The 26,351-nt window shown below is 44.1% G+C and overlaps 1 protein-coding gene across 10 annotated transcripts in view, besides 2 other annotated features; it reads left to right on the top strand.

Moving 5' to 3' along the window:
• The window catches only part of PEX14 (peroxisomal biogenesis factor 14), a 155,809-nt gene that overhangs the window by 40,638 nt on the left and 88,820 nt on the right, over positions 1–26,351 (top strand). For 6 of the 10 annotated variants that reach the window (XM_047422544.1, XM_047422546.1, NM_004565.3 and 3 more), the window contains exon 3: positions 20,626–20,710. In XM_047422544.1, the coding sequence (XP_047278500.1) occupies positions 20,626–20,710 (85 nt within the window). Of the gene's footprint in view, positions 1–4,766; positions 8,714–8,818; positions 8,897–12,663; positions 12,773–20,625; positions 20,711–26,351 lie in introns of those variants that run through there. The other 4 variants (XM_047422545.1, XM_047422542.1, XM_011541578.3 and 1 more) reach the window with 4 other exon arrangements.
• Positions 12,458–13,657: an enhancer, noted in NCBI's record as "P300/CBP strongly-dependent group 1 enhancer chr1:10588102-10589301 (GRCh37/hg19 assembly coordinates)". NCBI's record gives its function as "activates an origin of replication core promoter dependent on BRD2, BRD4, P300/CBP, MED14 and CDK7 cofactors, with strong dependence on P300/CBP, by STARR-seq in HCT116 cells {active_cell/tissue: HCT116}" and the evidence as "EXISTENCE:reporter gene assay evidence [ECO:0000049][PMID:35650434]".
• Positions 25,361–25,904: an enhancer, noted in NCBI's record as "H3K4me1 hESC enhancer chr1:10601005-10601548 (GRCh37/hg19 assembly coordinates)". NCBI's record gives its function as "activates a minimal SCP1, AML or CMV promoter by ChIP-STARR-seq in naive H9 embryonic stem cells {active_cell/tissue: H9 hESC(naive)}" and the evidence as "EXISTENCE:reporter gene assay evidence [ECO:0000049][PMID:30033119]".

Below are 26,351 nucleotides of genomic sequence, written 5' to 3' on the forward strand. Positions count from 1 at the left end.
GAGCTTCGTTCTCAGTTTCATGTTCTCTACTCCTGTGCTTCTAATTGTTTGTTAGAAAACTAAATGTTTCCACTTCATAGAACAATAAACTTTGAGAATGTCTTGGTTGAAAAACCAAACCAAAGTAAAAAATCCTTCACCCGGCTCTGGCTGCTTGTCTGCTTGTGATTTGAGAAAAAGGAAGTGGCTGCTCCTTGTGATCAGCCTGTCATGTCTCAGCCTGGAACTCCACTGTGTGCTGTGGTCAGGGGATCCAGGTTGTGACATGCTGACAGATTTGAAGACTGGATCTAATGGGAGAGCAGAAACGATATCCTATATTAGCCTCTGTGTGTTGGGCATAACGATGGCAGGTAGCCATGCCAGGAAACAAGACAGGTGCCATGGAGTTAGACTCAGTGGTCTGTGATCATACCTTACTTTGATTTGAGGGTTTAACCATTGGGTAGACTGATGCTACTGTTTTTTCCCCTTTCTTCCAAAATTGTATTTGCAATAGCAGAAAGTCACTGGAAACTCCTTTTCTGGCAGAATACCGAATGATCTAATTCAATTTTTGACATCTGCACTGTGAAATACCCTGGGCAGAACTAAGAAGCCAGGCCTATGTGTCTTAAGTTTTCATTTATTAATGCTAATGCTGTTCTCTGGTTGTTCCCTAGCCCTGTTTTATAGTCCAAATCACAGATGAGAAACTAGAAGAACTGTAGAAACTGTGTTACTGAGTACATAGTCTGAGAACTTTGTCTCTCTTTGTAGAAGAGTGTGTCTATTTGGTCAGTAATGCAAATGTTGTCCCACTGGGTTTGCTGTGGGACCCACTAGGTTTGCCGTGGGACCTTGAGAAACGGTTATCAGATGGCGGTGACTGAACCAAACCTGTTTTCATTATTGCCAGGTCCGTGGGAGTCTTTTACAGGATCTCAAATCTCCTGCCTGAAACTTTACCTGGGATTGTCTTGATTTGACCCAAGCCTCGTCTGTGCTGGCATCTGTGACTTTGTTTGCAACCCTTTCTAGTCTTTGTTGTGGCCAAGGACAGTCTGGTCTCCCAGCTAACATGGGTACAAACCAGCTTCTAGCTACTTGCAGGAGAATAGCTATGGGTTGACTTGGCATCTGAAGCAGATACAAACAGATTAGGCTGAGCTGCCCCAGAACAGCCAGAAGGAAAACCAGTACTTTAAAAACTGGTCGTCAGGTATTGGTTTAGAAAGAAAGTAGTTTGGAGAATGGGTGAGGACAGCCTGGTGAGTGATCCCGAGGTCACGGGCTGTCCTTGGGATGTGCTCAGATTCTTCTCTAGACCTGGAGAGCAACAGCCGTGCCTCACAAGCCCTTCTCCACATGTTTTGTTTTAAGATGGCAGAGCCTTTCTTTGCAGTTTTAGTTCAGCCTTGGGATGACGGTCAGACCTCGGTTTGTTCTTTTCTTTTCCAGTTTTCAGAGCCCAAGCCTGCTCCCTCTGTTGCTTGTCCAGCCTTGACCAGTGACTGTCTTCAGCCTGCACTCTGCATTTCACCCCAGCAGTAGGAAGAAGTGAGGTCAGAGGAGCACGTGAACCAGGGAGAATCGAATTCTCTTTGGATTTTGCTGGTCACACCCAGCAAAGCTGCTTTCTCTTCCCTTAAGTTCCAAGAACTGTTTGATGGCCTTAACTGCACAATTGGCTTGTGCCAGATTGAGATGTGTTGAACTGGGCAGTGGAGGTGGGGGTGAGGGGCAACTCCCTCTCCTATTGGGGGCAGAGTGCTGGCTGCATCAGGCAGTGATCAGATAGGCACTGATCGGGTCGGTTCACCCTCTGATATAGCCCGTATGCAGACTTCCTTTGAAGAGAGAGGAGTCAGGCTCATTAATTAAAGGAGCCTGGCTTGAGAGGCCTGTAATTATAGGTGCTAGAAATCTGAATTTTAAGAGGTTGTGCAGCTGCATTTTGAAAAATGTAGGGAGGCACCGAGAAGTACTGGTTGTGGGCAAGAATGTGGCTGAACCAGATTTTGGAGGTTCAGGTTTTGGCAGAATTCCCCTCCAAATTCATATTTATTCTTTCTTTCCATTTTGTTCTTTTTTTTTTTTCTAAATGGGAAGCAGAACCTGTGATTTTTTTTTTTTTTAAATGAAGGTTACACCCTGTGACCGAGAGGCTAGCATTGTCAGAGTATATGGGGGGCAGAAAGGAGTTGCTGTGAACTAGAAGATGCTTAGTTTTTGAGGAAACGGCACATCTTTGGGCCTTAGGGATTCAGTATTTGAAAAAAATTAAATAATTTCTTTCTTGAAATGAGTGAGGGGAGCAGGGAGCAGAAGCCCAATTTGAATGCAGTCTAGGGAAGTAAGTCCCAGGCAAATGGTGGACTCTAGAACCTTTGTCCCAACTTGACTTCCCCAGAAGTGTCTCTTCCTCTGTCATGCGTTACTTTTCCATGTGAACCCTGAGTTACAAACAGAAAATTTCAGACCTTTATGGGAAGTCCTGACCTGTGCCTTTTCTCTCTCATTTCCTCAGTTATTTGTAGGTTGACCTTTTGTTTTGGGTGCTTTTTCGCTCTCCTCTCCTTAAAAAAAAAGTATCCCTCTTTGCTTCTTGTCAAAAACCTTTATTTCGGTCCCTGACTATTTGCATCTCTGTTAATTAAGCATGGCTAATTTGATATGTAGATGGGATGGGGAGGGTTAAGGGTTAGATGAATAGAGGTCTACTCCCTGCCTCCCCCGGGTGGTGGGCAGGGGTGCTCCACAGACCTGCAAGACTGAACAGCTACACACGGCTGATGGCAAACCCGATGCCAGGGGGAACCTCCTCTCTGCCTCAGTGGTTTTGTCTCCTTGGGGATATTGAGAGCGTCATCCCGTTTCACAGACTGGACCCTCTGTGAAGGGCTGAAAAAATAAAATATAAAGGCCAGTTCTCTGTGCTCTTTTCTTACATTCTTGTAGTGTATATATTGGGAAATCCACGGGTGAACCCTTACACTGTAGAATAGAACACAAGTGTCCAAGACTCTCACTTGGTGCATTTACAATATGCAAATTCCAATTCCAATTAGATTGAAATCTCTATTTAGCAGAGTGGTTTTGTGAAATAAATAACTTTTGAAGAAGGAGGCCTGCTATATGTAATAAATATATATTTTTCCTTCAGTTGCCTGCATGGTGCTTCCTGCGTTCCCAGCCCTTGCCCGAAATGCTGATTCCGAAGCATCTTTGGGCTCTTTACAGAAGAGATGCTTCTCCTTCCCTTCCTGGCACAAGGATTTCATCCTTGATTTACAGTGCTCAGCTTGTTAGTGCCGGTGAAGGGGAGAGATGGTGTGAAGGTCGTTATGTCCGTTTTGTCCTCTTGGAGAGAAAGTGAGGGAGTGTGTTTCTTGCCGTGTGCTTGTCGTGGTAGTGGTGGAGTTGGAGAGGCCCCCACTTCTGTCAAAAGGAGTCGAGCCAAACTCTCATCCTCTCTTCTTCACCCTGTATACTACACGTTGTCCAACAGGGGGTGAATGATTTCAAAAGCGGAATTCAGAATTTCAGGAAGAGTAGCACACCACCGAGTAGAGGGCCTCCCCCTAACACCCCCCTTTTCATCATTCTCCCCTCCTCAGCCCAGCCGTGACAAACTGACAGATAATTAACAGATCAGACCCTCCTATTAGGCGTGCCCTGTGCTGGAAGCTGCTCTGGCTTTATGCAGTCCTTTAGCAGCTCTGTGTGTGTGGGTGGTGCCTCACTAAGTGGCCATAGCAGAGGGCAGGGAGTGCTTTGGGAAAAGCAAACAGAATGCTCTTTGGAAGAGAGAGTGCTTAAGAGGGAGAGCGGGGGCAGTAAGGTGCCTGGCTTGAAAGCACCTGGCGAAAAGACTCGGACTTTCAGGGTTGTGATCCGGAATACCACCGCCTGTCTCAGGGAATGGTGCGCTGGGTTATAATAGGATGCCTTATTACAAAAAACATTTTGAAGGCCACTTCCCAGGTCAGGCTATGCATTAGGTGCACTCTTCCTTCGGTGTAAGACTGTGCTGGACTTGCAAAATTGGAAGTGTGCAGCCTGTTGTGTTTCAGCCTTGGCATTAAATATTTCTACAGAGACACTGCCCTATGTGGCTTTCTCTCAGCTACCTAACTTTTCTTTCCCTGGTGGAAAGAAGAATTCATTGTGAGAATATTCATTTCTACTTACTAGTGACTTTTAAAAACTACTTTTCTTTGTTTTTGGACACAGGGACTTGCTGTGCTGCTCAGGCTGGAGTGCAGTGTGCAAACACGGCTTACTGCAGCCTTCACCTTCCGGCCGAAGTGATCCTCCCGCCTCGACCTCCATGTAGCTGGGACCATAGATGTGTGCCACCACACCCAGCTCATTTGAAATTTTTGTTGTTGTTGTTGAACAGAAGTGGTGAGAGTAAAATAAAAATAAATTAAATAAATAATATGTTTTGGTAGTGACAGGGTCTCACTTTGTTGCCCAGGCTGGGTCTCAAATTCCTGGGCTCAGGCGATCCTCTCACTTCAGTCTCCCACAGTGCTGGGATTACAGGCATGAGCTGTTGTGCCTGGCCTTCTTCTTCTTTTTTTTTTTTTTGTTTTTTTAACTAGAGACAAGGTCTCACTCTGTCACCCCAGGCTGGAGTGCAGTGCTGCGGTCATAGGTCACTGCAGCCTCAACCTTCTGAGCTCAAGCGATCCTCCTGCCCCAGCCTCCCAAGTAGCTAGGACCACAGGCATATGCCAACATGCCCAGCTAATTTTTAAATTTTTTGAAGAGACAGGATTTCACTGTGTTGTCTAGGCTGGTCTCAAACTCTTGGCCTCAAGTGATCCTCCCACCTTGGCCTCCCAGAGTGCTGGATTATAGTCATGAACCACCATGGCCGGCCCTGAAAACTACTTTTCTACTTCCCTTATGGTGGCCACCCTTCTCATCTTCATGATTTGAATATTAACATAAAGATAAATTTAGCAACATGTAGGGGCTACACGTAGGCTCAGGTCCTTAGGCCTGGCATGTTGGAGCAGAAAGAAACACCTAATTGCATCAAAACCACTCTAAGTTCATGTATGTGGAGCCCATCAAGCTGAAAGCATCCAGACAGCATCTGCTGTTATCAAATCACTCGTGAATCCAGCTAATTAAAATAGAGCTTCATTTTTCTGAACCATTGTTTGGCAGGAATTCGAAACGGGTCTAACCCAATTTCTGCATGTTTATGAGCCTTTATTATATCAGAGGTACTTTTCTGTAAATGTACAGGGCAGCGTTAAATGAATTGATCCACACAGTATCACTGTAGACGCACTATGGACTTGCTAATGATTTCTCTTCCAGCTTTCTGGTTTCCAGACATACTCTTGAAAGCTTTATCTTCTCTTTTTCTATCCTCTGCTCTTTGCCGTTGTCTTTTTTTTTTTTTTTAAACATTTTGAACTTTCCTTTTACTTTTTAATCTTCTTTTTTCTTTGGAAACAGGAAAACTATCCCCTTAAAGAAGTTTTCTTTTCCATTTCTCTTTTTCTTCCTCTCTTCCTGTTTTTGTTTTTCTTCTAGTGGATAAGATTTGTCTTTTCTTCCTTTATTTCTTGCTGTTTTCTATTCTCTCCTTTTCTTTTCTTTTTCTCTCTTATCTTTTCTCCCTTTTATACTTTCTCCCATTCCTTTTCTCTAACCTTCTCTTTCTCCTTTTTCTCTTCTTTCTATCTCCTCCCATTTTCCCTAATAAAATATCCTTATACCTTTGTCTCCACATGCAAATACTGACTAGGGAAGATGGGGGTGCCCGTGGAGGCAGAGCTATCTGGCTGCTCTAAGATGATGTCAGCTGAGTTTACTTCTCTGAATTTGCTTTCATGCTTTATTTTAGGTTTTAAAAAGATTTTTCAAGCCACATCTACTCTACTTTATAGTCTGTAATCCTACTTTGAAGATGAAAAGTGTTACATAAATGCTAACTAATTATTCCTTATACCACTTTGTGAGTCTCTAAGCAGTATTAGTTCCAGTTTACAGATGAGGAAGCAGGAACGGGAAAGGTAAGTAGCTCTGAAAGTTACTGAAGAAGTTGGTGACTGAGTTAGAATTAAACCTGGCTCATCTTTGGCTTTGCTTTTTGATTACCACCTTATGGGTGTTGACTTTTTTCCCCCCTAAGAATCATACATATTTAAGGTGAGGTTGAGTGAATACCATCCCCTTGGCCCCTTCTCATTATATACTTTTAACCTTCTGAAGTTTCATTTGTAGTCTTTAGATGTTAAATGAATTTCTAGGTAATTCCTGGGAAAGAAGGATGCTGAACCACTTGTGGGCTGGTAAAAACCCTGTCTATTAGTCTTAAAGCAGAGTGCTCACTTTCTCTTTCCAACAGCTTCCAGTAAGTGGGCCCACGTCACACACTGGCCCCAGTGATCGTAGTGTTGTAGGAAGCGCTGCCATATTTGATTGAATTTAGCCATTCTGGAATGACGTGTTCATGAAGTCGGCTCTTGCATTACCGTGGCCTTTATTATTGCTAATGCATTCTGACATTACAGGTGTAGCCTTGGCTCTCCCAGAAAGGGCAAGGCTGCTCTTACCAAACGAAAGAGCAGAATTTATGAAACTGTTACACAGTGAGGCCAGTGTTCACCTTTAGTTACTAAGCAGAGTAAGGGAAATAAATGCTTTTATAGAAAAGATAGCCAGTGACAGCAGTCTATCCTGATTCCTCACCCAGCACTGTTTCAAAAAGTGGATCAATTAATATTGTTGCCAGACAGAGAACGAGGACCAATGGTTAGGAGGTTCAGGAAAGTAGATTTCAACTCAGTTTAAAGAGGCACTCCTGAAAATGAGCTGACAGTCTCTTAAGGGAGTAGTTTCCCTGCTCATTATGAGCATTCAAGAGGAGGCTTCCTGATCATTTGTCAGGGTTGTTGGAGAGGGGAGTCCCTAGGTCATGGGTGGGACCAGATGGCTCAAGATCTCTTTTGGCTTGTTTCCTCATCTTAGATTGCTACAGCACAAACAGCATCTTTCCTGCTTCTATTTTGACTTTACAAGTGGCTGGTGTACCGTGAGGACCTGTGAATGCTCAGTAGCTATTCATTATTTAATCTCTGGCTTCCTGCTTCTTAATCTAACATGAATCAAAGCTGTTCTTGTTCAATTCAGGAAAACCACCATCTCTGGCACCTCCTAGAATGAGGCATTCTGGATAGTTACGTTTTCTGGATGGTCATCAGGAGCCATTTGAAAGCAGAACAAACAAAACACTTTAAAACTTTTGGCTGGGAATTATGTAAAATGGATTACATACTTTCTTGCTTTATTAAGCTGAATATCTGGAATATAATTTAATCGTGATGACTCAGTATTGTCATTTTAGATGAACGTGTTTATATGGTGTTATAAGCATAGCTGTGTTTTCAAAACCTGTTGAAATATAGATGTGTTGTATATTTGCCCCTACTTGAAATGACTCCACCGATTCTAAATGACCCCAGACTAATAAGCTTTTTGAATTTTTTTGTTTGCTTTTCATGGATGTTTCTCTCTTGGCATTTGCTGTTGGGCTTTTTTTTGCTGTCACATCTTTGTTTGGTGTTTCTGTACTAGCTGGCTCCTTCCTCTCTGTTCTTATTTGCAGCTTTTATCTTCTATGATTTGGATACCAGATAACTAAGCTTGTATATAAAATAAATAGTAAGTAGCGTGAGTAAAGCTTCGCAGCGTATAAAATATATGGAATTTGTAATATCTTTTTTGGCTGCCCTGATTTCTTCTGCTATTCCCTGTCTCCTCCTTCTCTGTTGGTTTTCTCCTTTTTTTGAATTGGGTGTCAGCTTGGAGAGATGAAATCTGGAAAGACTGGGTCTTGTCCTTGACCTAAGCCCATATCTCTGGCCCAGGTATCAGCGACTGCCTCATGGAATCAACTTAGAAATTATAAAATGGCACAGGTAGGGGGTCCTGAAGGTCATCTGTTTAACCCCTTATTTTATAGCAGTGAAGGAATCTGAGGCACTGAGTGGGGACATAAGAGGCCAGGTTCATGACAGTATTTGTGTAAGGTAAAAAAAAAAAAAAATCTTGTAGGAAAATTCTCTGCTGGCTTATCAGCAAGTTCAGAATTAAAGTACATAAACCAAAAAAAGGCTTCTGTTTGTGGCAGCGTTTGGCTGTGTTTGCACTCAAGACTATTATCGATATTCTAGGAGAAGCTTTAATCCTTTCATTCAAACTTACAAGAAATGCTGTTTCCTTTTAGTTAAAAAAAAAAAAAAAAAAAAAATCCAAGAGAGCATTTGATTTGAGGAACCAAAAGTCTAGAAAATGTATCCGGGAGTCCTCGTCAATTTGGGGCATAATGAAATATAAAAAATACTCAATAAAAGCTCCTTTATTACTTTAACTGTTTAAATGTGGAGTTTTTAGCCATCAGGTTAATGTTTTGGTATCATTTTTTTATTTGATTGTGAGCACTTTTCCAGGTAGCTCTGCCACTCGAGCGCTAATCAGATTCCCACAGATAAATGGTGCTAGCTGCAGCCTGACATCACTGCGTTTTTGCTTCAACATTATTTTATTTTATTTGGTTTTCCTGTAAAAGTTAATAACTCCATGTCCATGTGTTTAAACAGGCAAGAAGAGAGAGAGAGAAAGGACAGTGAGCAGAAAAGGATGAGGGATGTTTCAGGAAGCTTGTGCAAAATTGAGGAAATTTAGGGATTTTTGTAATTTCCAGGTATCTTACCTTATGAACAGTATGTGAAGAACCAAGAAGGTTACAAAGCAAGATGGTAATTCATAATCCTTCAGATAACAAAAAGTGAACTTCTCTGTTTCTCAGACAGAGCTGGGAAGAATTTGAAAGGAGTTACCATTGATTTAAAGGAGGAAGATGCTCAATAAACTGATTTGCTTAATGGTGAGAATTGTGTAAATTTTGTGTTATTCATAAGTAAATTACATGCTCATCTGGCTTCTCCTAGATGACCAAGATGGGGAAGGGCATCAGATATAGGGCATAAAGACCCTCCTTTTCATCTTCCCATTATTGGTAGGACACAGTGACTCTTGGCCAAGATGGCTCTGGTGCTCAGTAGGCCTTTGTGGAATCATTTGATTGATTGATTGATTGATTGATTGATTTTTAGAGACGGGGTCTCACTCTGTCACCCAGGCTAGAGTGAAGCAGTACAATCATAGCTCAGTGTAACCTCAAACTCCTGAGCTCAAGCCATCCTCCCACCTAGCTCCCCAAGTAGCTGGAGCGCCACTACGCCAAGCTATTTAAAAAAAACAAATTTTTTTTTGAAACAATGGAGTCTCGTTATGTTGCCCAGGCTGGTCCCGAACTCTTGGCCTCCAGCCATCCTCCTGCCTCAGCCTCCCAAAGTGCTGAATTATAGGCGTGGGCCACCATGCCCGGCCGGATCATTTATTTTTTAAAGTGTGTGTTTGTTTATTGGTAGCTGTGCTGGCTAATAATAGGGATGTTTATGGTATTTAGTGAAAGGTTGCTGAATGGTTCAAAGCCATGAGGACTACCTTTGGGTTCTTCTTGTGTGTGATGGATTTCCTCACTGAGCTGAAAATTTCTTAATTGGGGTTTATCAGAGAAGGCAACTGGACTGATGTCTCTTGATTCAGTTTCTCTTCCAAACTTGTACCTTGATACTAAAGACAGTCCGTGGGTACAATCTGATGATGGCTGTGATAATCAGTTTCACAGCCCTTATGTCATTACTTCTGAAAGATGTGTAAAAAAAAAAAAAGACATTTTCCTCATCTGCGTCAGCGGTATAGCTTGTATTGCTTTCCTGTGTTTCACACTTTGTGTTGATATGTTACTTGTGAAGTCGTCTACAAGGGTGTGACCTGTATTAGATACCGCTTTTTTAGAAAATGGAACCTGACCACCAACTTGTCCCTGTGGAGAGCCCATTTCTGGCCACTCTCTGGGGCTGGTGTGCTTGGTGAGGAAGTTGACTTTCCTCTGACAGTAGCTGATTGTATATGACTGTTTGAATAGTAAGTTTCCAATCCTTGTCATTCTACTGTCAATTTGAAGATTTTTTTTTCTTCAAAATGGAGTGTCACTCTGTCACCCAGGCTGGAGTGCAATGGCGTGGTCTCAGCTCACTGCAACCTCCGCCTCCTGGGTTCAAGCGATTCTCTCATTTCAGCTTCCCGAGTAGCTGGGACTGCAGGCACATGCCACCACACCCGGCTAATTTTTGTATTTTTAGTATAGATGGGGTTTCACTAAATTGGCCAGGCTGATCTCGAACTCTTGACCTTGTGATCCGCCCGCCTTGGCCCCCTAAAGTGTTGAGGTTGCAGGCGTGAGCCACTGCGCCTGGCTGATTTTTTTTTTTTTTGAGACAGAGTCTCATTGTGTCTTCCAGGCTGGAGTGCAGTGGTGTGATCTTGGCTCACTGCAACCTCTGTCTCCCAGGTTCAAGCGATTCTCCTACCTCGACCTCCCTAGTAGCTGGGACTATAGGTGCGTGCTGCCACACCCGGCTAATTTTTTGTATTTTTAGTAGAGACGGGTTTCACCGTGTTAGCCAGGATGGTCTCGATCTCCTGACCTCGTGATCCGCCCGCCTCAGCCTCCCAAAGTGCTGGGATTACAGGCGTGAGCCACTGCGCCCGGCTGATTTTTTTTTTTTTTTTTTGAGACAGAGTCGTGCTCTGTTGCTCAGGCTGGAGTGCAGTGGCGTGATAGCTCGCTGCAGCCTCCACCTCCTGGGTTCAAGTGATTCTCCTGCCTTAGCTTCCCAAGTAACTGGGATTACAAGTGTGAACCACCACACCCAGCTAAGTTTTGTATTTTTATTACAGACGGTGTTTCACCATGTTGGTCAGGCTGGTCTCAAACTCCTGATCTCAGGTCATCTGCCCACCTTGGCCTCCCAAAGTGCAATTTGAAGATTTTTAAGTCTGCCAGTTGACTGCATTATGAATTACACTTTTGGAACCCATACTTTAGTTTTTTTGTTTAGGCCATAAAAGAATCAAAGGTAATACAGGTTGAGTATTCTTGATCCCAAATGCTTGGGACCAAAAGTGTTGGATTTTGGATTTTTTCAGATTTTGGAATATGTACATAATACTTACTGGTTGAGCATCTCAAATCTGAAAATCCCAAATCCGAAATGCTCCAGTGAGCATTTCCTTTGTGCATGACCTTTGACTGTCATGTTGGCACTCAAAAAGTTCTGGATTTTGGAGCATTTTGGATTTTGGATTTTCAGATTAGGGATGCTCATCCTGTAGCAGGATCTAGGACTTGGTGGCATCCCGTTAGTAGCAGATCTTGATTGTTGACTTTCTTCTGTTTTCTGGTGGGTCTAAAGAAAATTCTTAGGCTGGACACGGTGGCCCACACCTGTAAATCCCAGCACTTTCGGAGGCTGAGGTGGGCAGATCACTTGAGGTTAGGAGTTCGAGACCCGCCTGGCCAACATGGTGAAACCTTGTCTCTACTAAAAATAGAAAAATTAGCCAAGCGTGGTGGCATGTGCCTGTAGTCCCAGCTACTCAGGAGGCTGAGACAGGAGAATCGCTTGAACCCAGGAGGCAGAGGTTGCAGTGCCAAGATTGTACCACTTTACTCCAGCCTGGGTGATAGAGTGAGACTCTGTCTCAAAAAAAAAAAAAAAGAAAATTTGTGGGCCAGGCATGGTGGCTCACGCCTGTAATCCCACACTTTGGGAGGCCGAAACTGGCAGATCACGAGATCAGGAGATTGAGACCATCCTTGCCAACATGGTGAAACCCTGTCTCTACTAAAAATACAAAAATTAGCTGGGTGTGGTGGCATGTGCCTATAGTCCCAGCTACTCGGGAGGCTGAGGCACAAGAATTGCTTGAACCCGGGAGGTGGAGTTTGCAGTGAGCCGAGATCACGCCACTGCACTCCAGCCTGGTGACAGAGCGAGACTCTGTCTCAAAAAAAAAAAAAAAGAAAAAATTTGTTTCTAAATTTGAACTCATTCTAGGCTATGAGTAGTTCTTTTTTTTTGTATTCAAATTTATTTTTTAGCATTAGGTCATTCTCTAATTTTCTTATGGGGTGTTTGGTAGAATTGCCTTTTATTTATTTATTTTTTTGTTTGTTTGTTTCCAAGACAGAGTCTCACTCTGTCACCCAGGCTGGAGTGCAGTGGTGCGATCTTGGTTCATTGCAACCTCTGCCTCCCAGGTTCAAGTAATTCTCATGCCTCAGCCACCCTAGTAGCTAAGACTATGCACCACCACACCTGGCTAATTTTTGTATTTTTTTTAGTGGAGATGGGGTTTCGCCATGTTGGCCAGGCTCTTCTCAAACTCCTGGCCTCAACTGGTCCACTCGCCTCGGCCTCCCAAAGTGTTGGGATTACAAGCGTGAGCCACTGTGCTTGGCCTAGAAGTGCCTTTTAAAGACTCCTTGAAGGTTTTAGTTTTGTGCAGAGTGTGGGTTGATGGTACACATAATTTTTTGGTCCAGAGCTTATCTTCCTTGGAATTCAGGAGCCCATCTTCTTGCCCTTAGGGCAGGTGGCCCTAAGCCCTTGAGGGGGATCCTGCCTTGCACCAGCTGGTGGTCACCTATTCAGTAGCTGACCCCCAGTGATGCCTTAATGTTTGAGGTTGCCATTATCCATGACACAACCTTTCTTCGTCTCCTTCCTAATCATCCCGCAGTTCAATAGTGCATGACTAGAGAGCTTCACCAATCTCCATCTGGCCGAACTTCAAAAGAAGTGGAAGCTGAAGCAGGGTTTCATCTGCTGAGCATCTGAAGCTGCTGGAGGTTAGGAGAAATACCTTTCAGAAAGCATGAAATTCAACCAGTGGTGGAGAGAAAGAGACTAGGAAATAGAGGCAGTGTTATCATTAGGGAGGTGCTGGGGACTGTGTGCCACATATTTTTAGTGTTGGAGTCACCCGCCACCGTCACTGTGTGAGCTCACAGTTCTCTCAGGGAGCATCTTGGACACTGAGTCATTACATTCCTTTAGAGTGATTTAACTCAACAGCTTGACACCTTCATTAATTTTACAACACGAAGCCTGGGTGCTCTCTGCTTCCTCTTTAACAGTGCAGGGAAATTAGAGGAATATTGAAAATATAAAACCAGGGGATACTGGAAGAAGGAGCAGTCAAGGAGCTGTTGAAAAACATCATGTTAAGGAATTGAACTACTTGTCTTTCCTTGGTATCTCTTGGGATCGAGCACCCAGCTCTTGCCACTCGTCTCTGGCACATAAACCTTTTATTTCCGTTCCTGGCACGCTGGCCAAACCTCCAACTTGCAGCCAGCTCGTTTGCCTTCTCTGCTGAGGTCACTGCTACCGTGATCCGTGTATAATGGCATTTTCCTCCTCTTTTCAGTATGAAGGCTATTACAGTTTCTTCTCTAAACAGGACTTCAAACAATTTGCTGCCAGTTGCATTTCAAAGGCAGGGAAAAGGCAAATGTCATCCTTTTTTCCTCCCCTCTTTGGGTAACTGCTTTGTTGGTTGCATCAAAAATTAGAGGGGCTGCTATCTAAATTCAGGTGGGGATGCGTGGGGACAAGGCATTTAAATGTGCTTTTCTTTCTCCCTGAAGGAGAAAAACGCTTTTCCTTCTCAACCTTTCCTAAAAAGGAACTTTGATCTTCCCAACCCACAAGCAAGGGTTTCATTTCTTCCAGGCCGGCGTGTACTCCACAGCTCCTTCTGTGGCGTGGTGACCGTCACCCGCTGCATCAGCAGCTCTGCTTTTCAAGCTGTGCTCCTCCACTGCACCAGCGCCCTTTGGGCTGGAAGTTGGCACCCAGAGTCCTCGGCTGGACACGGACACCTCTCCAAAGTCACCCTTACGTCCCTAAGATCACTGTCCCTTGACATTAAATAGTGCGTGGTGGTTTAAGATGCTTTTTATTTCAATATACATTTCTGGAAGAACTACTTTAATCAAATAACAAAACAATGACATTCTGGCAAGCAGTTCATGCAATATTTTTAACTAAGGCCAAGGGAAAAAAAATAAATGGCAGAGATATTTCACTTTGAAAGGTAGTTTTTGTGCATGTGAAGTTGCCACTTTTCATAAAGGCTTTTACTACATATATCAATGAGTTTTAAGAGAGACTAGGGTCAATAATGCATGCTTTAGAATTCCCTAAATACAGATTTACACAATAGCCTTAAAATATATTCTGTTCTATCATGTCAACTCCTGTGCACTTCTACCAGCGGAATTTTATTTCTTTAATGTGAAAAACAAAAGGACAGAGGAAAGTAAAGTAAAACAAAGGAAATTAGGGCCCACAAGCTTAATTAGTATAGTGTTGTAACCCAAATCAACAATGGGAAGGACACAGTGACAAAACCCAGGAAATTCCAAGTCGAAAGAGAGGCTCTTTCCTTTAACTCCTTGAGTGCCAGGGCACTTGCTAGCCAGCTCCTTACCCAGGTGCAGGAGGCTACCTGAGTACAACTCACTGTCTTTATTGTTGAACTTCCTGGCTTTTGTTGACTTTCCCTTCTCCTTTCCTCCCTTAATGTACATGAAACATACCTTTGTGTGTGCGTTAATTATAGATAAATGGGCTAAAATTGCCTCTTGGTTTTGTAACCCTCAGAGAAGGGGAAAGAGTACAAAAAAAATTCCTGTCACTGTCATCTGTTCATTTTTAATGAGCAATTTTTAAAAATTGAAAATAAAAGAGGAAAATGAATAGGTGTTGAACCAGCCCGTGATATGTAAATGCCAACTAGTAATTACCTAAAACCTCAATTTTCATTCTGTTTCATCTTGCAAAACATTTCATTTTCCCTGAGTGAAAACACTTAATTTGGGCTGTGCGAGTTAGCGGAGCGGCCGCCCCGGCCTGCGCCTCCGCCGGCTCCGGCTAGGGGGCACTTTGGCTCTGCGCTTCTGCCGCCTGCGGGCTCGTCCACCTCAAGGTTATTCCCCTCTTGCCATTCCAGTGGTTTTACTCCGAGTGTGCAGGCCCCTCCCCCCTACTCCCACTAGTCTGGTTTCGGGGAGCCTGTTCCTCCTTGTCCTTGCAGAGGCGCGTATTGAATTTTGGCTGACCGAGCCTTCCTCTGCATATTAACTTTCCCCTCTTACCTGGCTATTGGGCCCTTGGCGTCCCTGAGTTGCAGTCACACTCTGAGAGCAGCTTTCTGGAAGCTTTCTTTCTCCCTTTGAGGTTGCACACAGAACTGCCTCTAGTTTTTGTTTATTCCTGCTGCTTTTTTAGTCTTTCTTTTCATTTTGGCAGCTGGGGAAATCCTGGATTGAGGCTCACACACATTTGCCCTCCTGCCACACTGAGAATGACAATTCCGACGCTTGCTTTCTTTTGCATACTTGTAGATTTTTCTTCTACTCTGGTTTAGGATATGTCACCTTTTGGATATGTTCGTGGAATGTGGCTTGTGGTTGCCGCTGCTTCCTTCCCTCCCCAGCCTGTTCCCTAGCTAGAAAGAGAGCGTGTAGACTTGAGAAAGAACAGGGAGCCCGGCATTGTGAATGGTAGATCAGAGAGGAGCCTGCATGTAGAAAACCAGAATTATGTTGTCCTAGGACCCTGGATCCGAGAGTGCTCTGCCTGGAATCTCAAGGAACACGGCCTCTTTAGTGAGATATATAGCTTCATAATTAGCCCGTTGCATTTTTTCACGAGTGCTAGCATCAGCGTTCTACGATGTGTTTCTCTGATTAACAGCTGCTTTGCAACTATTTCCCTGTGCCGCCGATGACCATATTTGTCAAGGAACTCCTGACAGAGTACTGATTTCTTACTAAAATGCAGCATTTCTGTTTGAAGAGGGTTCTCTCATTCTTGGCAGTGCCTGGCTTTTTAAGTCAGTCCTTGTTAAAACTCGAGTTGGCTTTGGTCTAACGCTTGTTAACAGGATTCTGGGTATCTACTTTAGTGTATGAACGTAGGAACCTTTCACAGGCAATTTAATCTTCTGAGCAGCGCACGTGGAGCAGTGCGGCGCTGGAATGGGGTTTCGGGCCCGTAGATTATATTGGTCATTTTCTTTTGCCCTCTAGTTGTGATCTCTGTGGGTTAAAAGGACTTGGCTTTGGTTGTTAGTGTCATTAATTTTTGAATATTTTTAATATTTTAAGATGGCTAATGAATGCTCACATCTTAGGAGATAGATGTGTATGTAGTACACAGGAGTGCTGGAATTGGTGGCATTCCAAATAAGTGTCACTGGAGACAATGCATCAGGTTTACATGTCAGGTGCAAAGTGCTAAGGCTCCCTCAAACCCCAGGTTCATTATTAGGCAGGCTCTGTCCTCCTGTCCCCCTCGTGCAGAAAATAAAGTGTGTATTCTGAAGATTACAATGTGCAGGTCTTTTGTAGGAGAGTGGAAAACACATAGGAAGCATCTCTTTGGTGAGGACTGTCAGGAACCTCAGTTCTTCTCACTGGGGATTACTTACCCTACACAATGCATTTAACAGCACATAGTTCATAGTAGATAACCCCTGAGTATACTGTATTCCATTGATTTATACAGTTACAAATCCTGCTCTCTCAAATACAAATCTCTCTCAATTGGCCAGTCATCTTAGATCTAAAGGTGTTTTTCAACCTGAAGTCCCCCCCGCTTTTTTCCAAGTTGCTGACAGTGACTCCAGTGACTCCGGTGTAACCATTGTTATGAGACTGCAAAGACAAGAATTTACTCCTCTTCCTTGCACCTCAGTTTTATCTCTAAGTGACACATAGTGAAAATTATGAAATTTCCCCAAAATTGTGGAATTGGTGGTGGCAGGGTTGTTTTATTTTGCTTTGGGTGGAGAAGGGGACAGAAGGTAGGGTCAGAGGGATGGGGGGCGGGGAGAAACTGGTCTGTTTTCTTTGGAGTTTGTTGTCTTTATTTTGATTAAACTAGCTATTGGTAATTCGAGGTGCACTCATTAAGAACTCAGTGCAAGAGGAAGGGAAAGGAACGCTGATTCCATATTTATCACAGGCTCACCAGCAAGCAGCTTCGACGGCGGCATCAGCAGCTTAGTGCCAGAATTCTCCCTGGCTTGCTGCACTCCCACAACATGTGCAATAAAGTTCCTGTCTCCGTTTTACATCTTTGACATTGAGGCGGAAGATTTGGCCTGAATTTATGTAATTTAGTTGGGCACAAATATAACCCATGAATAGTCACATTCATCTTCTAATTAGAAAATCAAATGATAATACAGGACAGGCTGCAGGCACCCCATCATCGAATCCAACAAAAGCGTGTTGTGTGTGTTGGGCCTCTGCAGAGGAAAGTCAGTTGAATTGCTTCATGAAATTAATGAAAAGTGCCCAACAATAGGTGGGTGAAAGGCACAAACCGAGTGCCCTGTCAGTTATTTAGTGTGTGAAGATGTTAGCATTATGGGTAAAGAGTTTTGCAAAATCTTCTCCCATCGATGTATGAATCATGGGGCTATAAAATTCTAGATTGGACAGGTCCTTCCCCCCATTTTGTAGTGCCAGTTCCTTGCGGGGAGGGAGGGAGAAGAGTCAAGAGTAACTGAAGAAATAATTAGTGAAAAGAGGAGAGAGGTTTTCATATGTTCACACTTACATGTAGCCACTTCTCAGGGTGTCTTTCTTATTCAGCACATTAGGTTGGGGCTATTTGAGTGCTTTATATTTTTGCATCTAGTGTAGTGATGTCGATGCTGTTAAATATGTGATTTGCCTGTCGCCTGCATTTTCAGACAAAGATCAAGAGGAACATAAACAAGCCCCAAATATACTTTATGTAGGTGTTTGGCAGTATTATTTTATATGACTTGAAATTAGTGAATGGAAACTTTAAAAGAAATTGTTCATATTTTTGCAAGTTTGAAGTGTGCCGGGACTTTGTCAAATTCCCGTTAAAATAAATACGTCAATTTCATCTCCCTTCCAAATTCATTTTTCTTGCTTTTTTAAAAGGTGTTTTCTACTTTACCTGATGTTTAAATTGGATTCGCTCGTTTATGCTGTTCTTTGCTATATCCCCCACGTTCTTCTTAAATGAATTACTAATGACAGAGCACTCCATCATTCCCTCTCTGCAGCCACTTTAAGGAAAGCATGGTGATCTAAACCTTTTAACCTATTAAAGATGATTTTTCCCAATTGAATCAGACCCACCACAGGTGTAATAACTAATCATTTAAACTACACCTGCTATTATGTATTTTTAAGCCATTATGCATGTTGGATAGATGATAATTCATGTTTATTGCATTGTCCGATGGATCCGTTTTGCCTACACTAGGCTGATTAATGTATTTAAAGAAATAAGAGATGCATTTTTTTAAAAAAAATTGATGGAATGCGCCAAGCACTGCATTGAGTGCACCATTAAACCCATCAGAACTTTGCTCTCTGACCAGAAATGCATATACCAAGGACTATATTAAAAAAGCAAGGTGAAACCTGTGTGTTCCAGTGGTGGGATTCTGTTTTCTTTCTCTGTCATGGAAAATTTTGGAAGGATGAAGGAAAGCTTTCTGTTTCTATGGGTAAATGATAGGAGCTGTACTACTAGCATCTTCTGCTTAAGACCTGTTCATCCACATTTCCGCTGACACCTGGTACACGTGTCACACACAGCATGCAGACTACCGCATGATACGAGTAGTGTAATTTTCTTGTGTGTTGAAGGTGTATTTTTTTCTCCAGGTGAAGAACAACTATCCCCACGCCATCTGAGCTGTGCAGACTGGCGCTGACCCTGGGGGCCAGTGACTGGGTACCTGTTCATTCTCTTTCCAGAGCAGGGGCCTCGCTTCCGTTGGTTTTTCTGCTTGTCTCTCATTTCTCCTCTCTCCTTTTCCCCCTCTCTCCTGTTATAGCTCCTTGTGTACTGTTGCCTTCTTCTCCCCACCTTTCCTACCTCTACCCATCCCCTTTTCTTTTTTCTCTTTTTTCCTTCTTCCCTTCTCCTATCTCTTCATTAAAATGCATCAGTGTTGTAGATGTTTGTTAGATTTCTCTTGATTTTGGTGTGACCTGAGGCGATCTGGTTGAGTATGCCGTTTGGGGTCTCTAGAATCTCGAGCATTCATTTTTCTTTAGTCCAGAACTGGTCTATTACTGTGGTTCATGACGGTGGTTAGTACTGTCGGCAGCATTGGAGGACAGATGATAATCTGTGCGGAGCTGGGCTTGGCTGTCAAGGGACACTAGTATGTCCTGTTGGTGACAGGCCCAGACCTGAAAAGTCAAGATACTGAGTTCATCCTTTAGGGGAATGTCTAGGTAAGCCTCCCACGGAGGGGTTGCAGGGAAAATGAATACAGGCTTTTCCCTGGCTTTTTTTCTTTGGTTTATCCTCATATCTTTTGTTCCCCAAAAGTCTGTCTGGTCTCAGGATTACATTCATATAAAATATGGGGAAGGAGATGATTTGTAACTTGTATTTCACTTACAGTCACAGTACTTTCTGTTTGACTGCTTCCCTTAGTTTGAAGGATCTTAGAAAACTTCCTTACATCTAGCCTTAGAAATTTTTTCTTTCAACAACTTATGAGTGAACTCAGGGCCTGTTGACTTTATCTGTAACATGAGACCATATTATTCCTTTGATTTTGATGAGGTGAATAATAGCAGTCATTTAAAACAGCCCCTTTCCTACCTGGGGCAGGTGGGCGTTTCCCATCCATAGGGCTGGTGTCTGGGGTGGAAAGTAGACAAGCCAGGCGTAAACACACACTTCGCGTGTGCTGAGTGATGTGAAGGTTAATACCTGCAGCGGTGCCCCTTCCATCCCCTGCCCGGCTTATGTGGAGATAGGAAGATTTCATTAAATAATATTCATTACCAGAGGCAGGTAGACAATCTGTCAATCTGTCAGCTTTTAGCCATGAAACTCCAAACTTTGCCCTTTGAAGGGTCTTCAGAACTCAGCTCCATTGCAGAAGGGGGGCCAGAGTGAATGGCAGTGGGTGTTGTCTCCGACATAATCCCTTCCAGCCGGGACGCCCTCAACACTTTGCCAGGCTCTGGAGAGAGTGTGGTCTCTGCCCTTCACTTGCTTGCAGCGTAGTTGGGGAGGCAGGCTGAACATTAGAAGATGGTGTAATTATGTCTTCAATTATATGGTACACAGTACAGGCACTGAAGAATTGAAGAGAATAGGGAGATCAGAGATGGCTTGCTTATTTAGGCAAGGCTTCGAGGAATCAGAACAGACTATAAAAGGGCTGTGCTGATAGAGAACGTGTGTGTGTGTGTGTGCGTGTGTACGTGCGCGTGGGGTAACGTTTAGACAGGTGGAGGCAGGAAAGGGAGGCCTTCCAGAAAGACAGCATACAGGGCACAAGGGCGGCGACATGGGTGCGCATGGCCACACCTGCCGGGGAGTATGAAGAATCAGCTCGAATGGAGATCAGGAGGAACAGGAAGGATCGTCGCAGGCCTGAAGCTCGGCAGAGGGATTAGATTTGACAGACTCAGATACAGGAAGCCAGTGAAGACAGGGAAACAACATCGCCTTTCATTTAGGTAGATTTTAAGTTTAAGAAATAACTGGTTATAAATTTGACCACAATAGTATGCTTGTCTCTGTGGAGCTGGGAAAAACTCCTAGGATTTTTAATCTTGAAATTCAGACTATTGAAGTGAAGTTTACTCCTCTATTTTCTCTCTCTCACCAGATTGCCACGGCAGTGAAGTTTCTACAGAATTCCCGGGTCCGCCAGAGCCCACTTGCAACCAGGAGAGCATTCCTAAAGAAGAAAGGTACAGGTTCCACAGGGCTGTGCAGCACGGCCTACAGGGGGACTGGGGCTGGGGCAGATGGAAGCCACGGTGCAAGGCAGGTGCTGAGCTGCCAGGACTTCCTAGAGCTGCCCACTCATGGGGCAGTGGGGCTGAGGCGAACCCCCCAGTGGGGCATGCAGGTTTCTTTCCTGACAATGGAGCGGCAAGATGACACGATTCGGGTAATTAAGCACGGATGACTTAGTCCAGTCCATCATGGCAAAGGCAGCATTCAGTAGCAGAGTCGGCCCATTGGATGAGACTGTGGAGGACTTCTGGTTTTTGGTCTGCTCTGTGTCAGTGACCCTGGCTGCAGGATGACTAGCTTAGGTTAGGAGTTCAGCTGCTTCAATAGAGAATGAGGGAGAAAGAAATGAAGGGCGAGGGAAACGAGATGACTAACAAGGTCAGGTTAAACTCAAGCTTGGGGTCAGTCCGATTTACAGATTGAAGCGGTAAATTAGTGGTTTTATGGTATTTCTGTAAACAGGGATAAAGTGGACCCTGACAAATTCAATATTGTCTGAAGAGACAATCTATTCTGGTTCTGTTGGACTTCAGGGTATTTTTCTTTTTTTGTAAAATGAAAACTACAAAGAAACCTGACTTTTCAATTTTTTATACATGTAATTTTCTAGAAATCTAGGAAGTCATTTACACATCCTTATATACCATGATGGGCAAAAGTAAGCTTTCTTCCTCCCAAAGCAAAACTCTTTTTCCTTAAGGAGCTGGAATGCCAGCCTTGAAATTCTGAGTTTTGAGCTTTCAGTCATTTTTGGCTGGAATAGGTGGGTGATATTTCCTAGGTCTGCTCTGTGATGTCCCGCTGAAGGGATGCAGCATGAACCATTGGTCCCTTCATGCGATCATGTCCCGGGGCTGCACTAACAGGGTTTGGGCAGAAGAAGCCCAAACATTTCACCACAGGCAGCTGCTTCGCGGCAGCCCCAAGGCTGGGTCCCTGCGACAGAGTTGGTAAGGAGCACTGCACGGCTGCTCACTGGCTGCATTGTGCCAGCACCCCCCCCCCCCGCCATCATTAGGAGATTATTAAAATTTGGAGTGTGTTGGCTGGCCTCGCCACTCCGCAAGCATCATGCCATAAAAGAGTTTTTCCTTGAAATATGTGTACCTATGGGGAGTAATTAATCATAAAAGCTTAGGGATTTCAGCTCTCTCATCAAAGCATTGAAGCTGGGGAAAGCTGAGCCTAAAAGCTGAGCTGATTACCCGGGGTAACCTGAGACAAAATCTATGGTTGCCGAGAGATCCTTAGCTCCAGTATATTGTGCAATATTATAACTGCCTGATCTTCTCTTCCACCGACAATGACCAGTTAGTCCTCATTTTCTCTCAAACGCAGCTGGGTTAGAATTTCATTTGCAGAAGGTATTTAGAGCAATTTAGAGACAAATGTCTCTGGTGTTTGCTCGGCACTTCCCCACCGCAGGCTTTGCTGAGCAGTTTTAGTATCAGGAGCTCCATCTAATCTGTTTAATTTTAATAAATCCCTGACTGGGAGAGGGAGTGAAAAAAAAAAGAGAGAGAGAAACTCTGGACCAAATAATACTTCTTTTGAGTTACTTGGCTAATAATTACTGTAGAGAGAAAACTTTTTGTGCAATTATGATTCGTTGCTCCTTTAGCAAAAAAAATCCAACTGATCAATTCATCCAAGAGTCATTGTGCACCCTATGCCCTGTCCCTGGACTCCCATCAGGAATTTAGCAGAGAACCGAACAGACAAAATCCCTGCCCTCGCAGAGCTTAAATTCTAGTGGAGGGAAGGCAGACGATTAACAAATGGGAAAATGAAATAGGTCGGATGTCAGATGCCGAGCGCCATGGATACTGATGAATGAAGCAGGGAGCCGGGGTGAGGAATGCCAGAGTTGGTGTGGGCTGGACTGTGATCTTAAACAACATGAATGTCAGAGTGTCTCTAAGAGGGTGGCACATGAGCAAAGACTGGAAGGTGACTGTTTATTGGTACAGTGGACATAATTCCTTCTTGACCCCTAATTTGGGTTAGAGTTTTTAGAATTTTAGGCATCTGGCACCTTGAGATGCTATCCTGCCCTTCGTCCTCTAAAGAGAACCATGTGAGTTTATCCCGTACTTAAACCTGGAATCTCTGAGGTTAATCACCCATCTCCATTATCCTCTAAAATGCTGCTTCAGTCAGTAATTATCCATTTCCGAGTTGAATCCCAATGGAGTAGGTTCTGGCAGGACCTTTTCTGGGCAGAGAATTCCAAGGTTTGATCGGTGTCTGGGGAAGAAAAGCCCCTTCGCAGATTTAAGCTTCACTTTTCAAATTTCGGGCTGTTCCAGGGTCAGGTTTCCGTGCTCAGCACGGCCTGGCACCGTCTCCGATGGGGATGAGGGTGAACATCTACTGGGTCCCTAACAGTAGTTGTGGCAGGAAAGCAAATTGGCTCGCTGGCCGTCTGGACCAGGAGGGGCCTGGGTTCTGGCACCCGTGCTCTTGGACTCCCTGCAGAAGCCTTGCAGTGCTGGGCTTGGAGCATGGGCTCTGGGAGGGCTCTCAGCTCCTGGAGTCTTGGCTTTTCCTAGCAATGTCACTTCAGGGAATTGCAGTGGAGCACTGACTTGAATTATAATCTTGACTTTCTTTTTTTTAATAAACATCTCTTTCCTGAAAAGGCAAATCCAATTTTGTTTTTCTTTTAATATTATTTAATATTTAATATAGAAATTGAGGTCCCTGTAGTGCATGTCAGTTCAGTGGAAAATGAGGCGCATCAGCTGAGTTTGTTTCATTGTGAAACCGCAGCTGGGAGCAGGGGCTGCATCCTGTCCGTGTTACCGACTGGTTAAGTGTTGTGCTCTGTGACTTCTGGTGGGGGTGCTGGGTGAGGGTGAGTAGGGAATGAGTGGTATAGGGATGGAAGAGCATTGGTTTGCAAAGGTCTTTCCTGTTACTTTTTTTTTGTTTTTTGTTTTGAGATCTCTTTCGGATGCTTTAAAATCTGAACATGGAGCCATTAATGAGAAACGTGAAGTTATTAGAATCATTTATCATTTTCTTTGAAGTTTGTACTGCCATTTTGTGTAATTTACAACATTTCTTCCTTTTATCGGGAATATTTTGGATGAAAGAAAAAAGCAGCTGCTCACCTTCAGAGTATTAGAATAAATGTTTTTGTTTTCCTTCCAACCACTTGATTCTGCAGATGACACATCAACTGCGGAGTCAGCCACACATCAAGATAATTGGACTGTGTGTGGGGTTTAAGCCCTCATAGAACCAGTCTATATATAGAAGCAGTTCTTGCCAGGCAGGCATCATATCTGGGGCTTTAAGCAGGCTGCAATCCAGGAGGTTAGAGTAACGTAAAAACAGCAATAGAATCAGTCCAGAAAGTTAGAGGCTTGGAAATTGTCGTCAATAGGCTTGTGTTGATTTGACACCCTATCCAGCCACAAAATGTAGGAGGCAGTCTGCTTCCAAAGATGTTTGGCAGGCTGAGGATGAGGTGGGTAATAGTGATGCTTGCTTGTGAGGGGGGTGAGGTGGGGGAGGGGGATAGAGTTGTCTGTTAACTTACTCTAACATATCTGTTGCAAAGCAAGCTTCTAGGAAAGACAAACATCATCTATTTTTCTGTATAACCCTGCATAGTGGGGCCTGGGTGCTGTTGGCTCACACTTACTGTGTCCTTCTCAAGTGTCTAAGTAAAGGGCTTTTTCCTGCCTCATCCAAGAAATGGTCCTGGTTGGGGTAGGCAAATGAAACAAATAAAACACACCACCATACTTTCTCATTCCAAAAGGTGAAACTAGATCTTATCCTTCTACTGTTCCTGGAAGTAGAAACCCCGGTAGCAAAACCGCCTCCTTGCTGGAAATGAACTTGAAGAAACCTGGCGGTCCCAACCTTGGTAGTGGGCTAGAGGTAAAGGGCTTCTCTGTAGAATATTTCAAGGGGGAGTAAATTCTTACACAGATTTCAATTTAACTCTCTTTTATTACTTTTCTTTTTTTTATCATTTACGTCTATTTCATGAGGTAGTTTGCATGTCCTTGAATGGAATCTCGTTACCATGAAAGCTTTTTTAGCATTGATTTCATAACAGTCTTAATTTAATAGCTCCGTCATTACTGAGAAGCTCTGGGAGTGGGGCCCTGGCTTTCCAGGTCACTGACCTTTTAATTACAAACCTTGTTCTGATGGCCAGGTTATCGACTGGACAGCTCCCAGCTTGTGCCCCCAGGATGAAAACGAAAATAACTGTGTTTCCTCCCCCATCTCCAGGAAAAAAAAAATTGTAACCTCTTGTGTTTCTAAAATTAATTTTCTCCTTCAGCTTTACTTTATAATTAATTCTTTAATGTGTCTTAGTGAAGCCAGAAGTCTTTTCACAAAGCTTTTCTTCCTAGAGCTTGGGTCCAGCAGATAGCTTGGGGGGAGGGCACGGAAATCTTGCCAGCTCCCACCCCTTGCTTGCGTGTGGCCCATTTCCTCATCCTCAGAAACTCCTGCGGCTGAGCTGGAAGGAATACAATTGGCTCTGTGAGGGGCTGTCTGGCCCTTCTGATTTTTTGTTAACGAGACATGGATTGTGGCATCAAGATTTAGATTCATTCCTCTGTTTGTTGGAGTCATTGAAGCCAGTATATCCTGGACATTTTTTAAAGAGGTCCCCATTCTGAGAAAAGACAGGAGTTGAATGTCTTATTGATTCTTACCTTTCTGTTCGTTATAGACGACCAGAGGAAACAAATGCCCGACACGGATTCGACTCAGTCATAAGTGTGAACCAAATAGGCCGATCTGGGTTCTCTCACTGACTGAAGAGGAAGAGAAATAAGAGAGGACAGTGGGCAAAATGTAGGGTGACAACCAAGGGTTCTGGTTTGCCCAGAATTGCCCTGGGTTCAACCCTGAAGTTCCCATGTTGTGGACAGCCCCGTGGTCCTAGACAAACAGGTCACCTTAGCGGTAAAAGCCTTTCTCAGGAGTGAGAGCTACCAGGGGAGACAAAACGGGTTTGGTTTTGGAACCTGGAGGAAGAAGGCAAAATGAGAAGAGTCCACTGGCAGTGAGTCCCGGAGAGGCCCGCCTGCAGCAGCGTGGCATCTTCCGCACCCACTTCCTGCTCTTTCTCCCGTAGCCCTGCCCTAGTGTGGGTCCAGTGCAGAGCCTCTGGGGGCGGGGCCGTGCCCTGCAGGTGAGCGAGGAGCTGCTCGTGCGGAGCAGGCAGGGCTGTGTGGCAGCCGCGCTTGTTCCTGAGGATGATTGAGCATCTCCATCCATCTGTTGTGAACGGACCGTCTTCCTTCCCTGCCAGTCTTGCACCTGCATATTCGTCACCTGCTGTTCTGGCCCAGCCTATTCATCACACCGACTGGTCCCCCGCATCAATTTTCCCGCTCCCCCTGTTATCCAAACTTGCCTTGAACTCCACAGATTTTTCTCGGCATCCAGGACGAGACCTACGGCAGCTAGGCCAGCCGAATGTTGTAGAAACAGAGATGCCCTGGCTTCCCCATTCAGAGCGGGAGCTGATAGCACTTGCTGCCCCAAGAAGGCTGAGCTGAGGGGTTTCCTCCACTTCACCCTGCGATGGGGAAATAGTGCAGAGGAGTTTGC

This window comes from Homo sapiens, chromosome 1, assembly GCF_000001405.40.
Source record: "Homo sapiens chromosome 1, GRCh38.p14 Primary Assembly".
NCBI classification, from domain to species: Eukaryota; Metazoa; Chordata; class Mammalia; order Primates; family Hominidae; genus Homo; species Homo sapiens.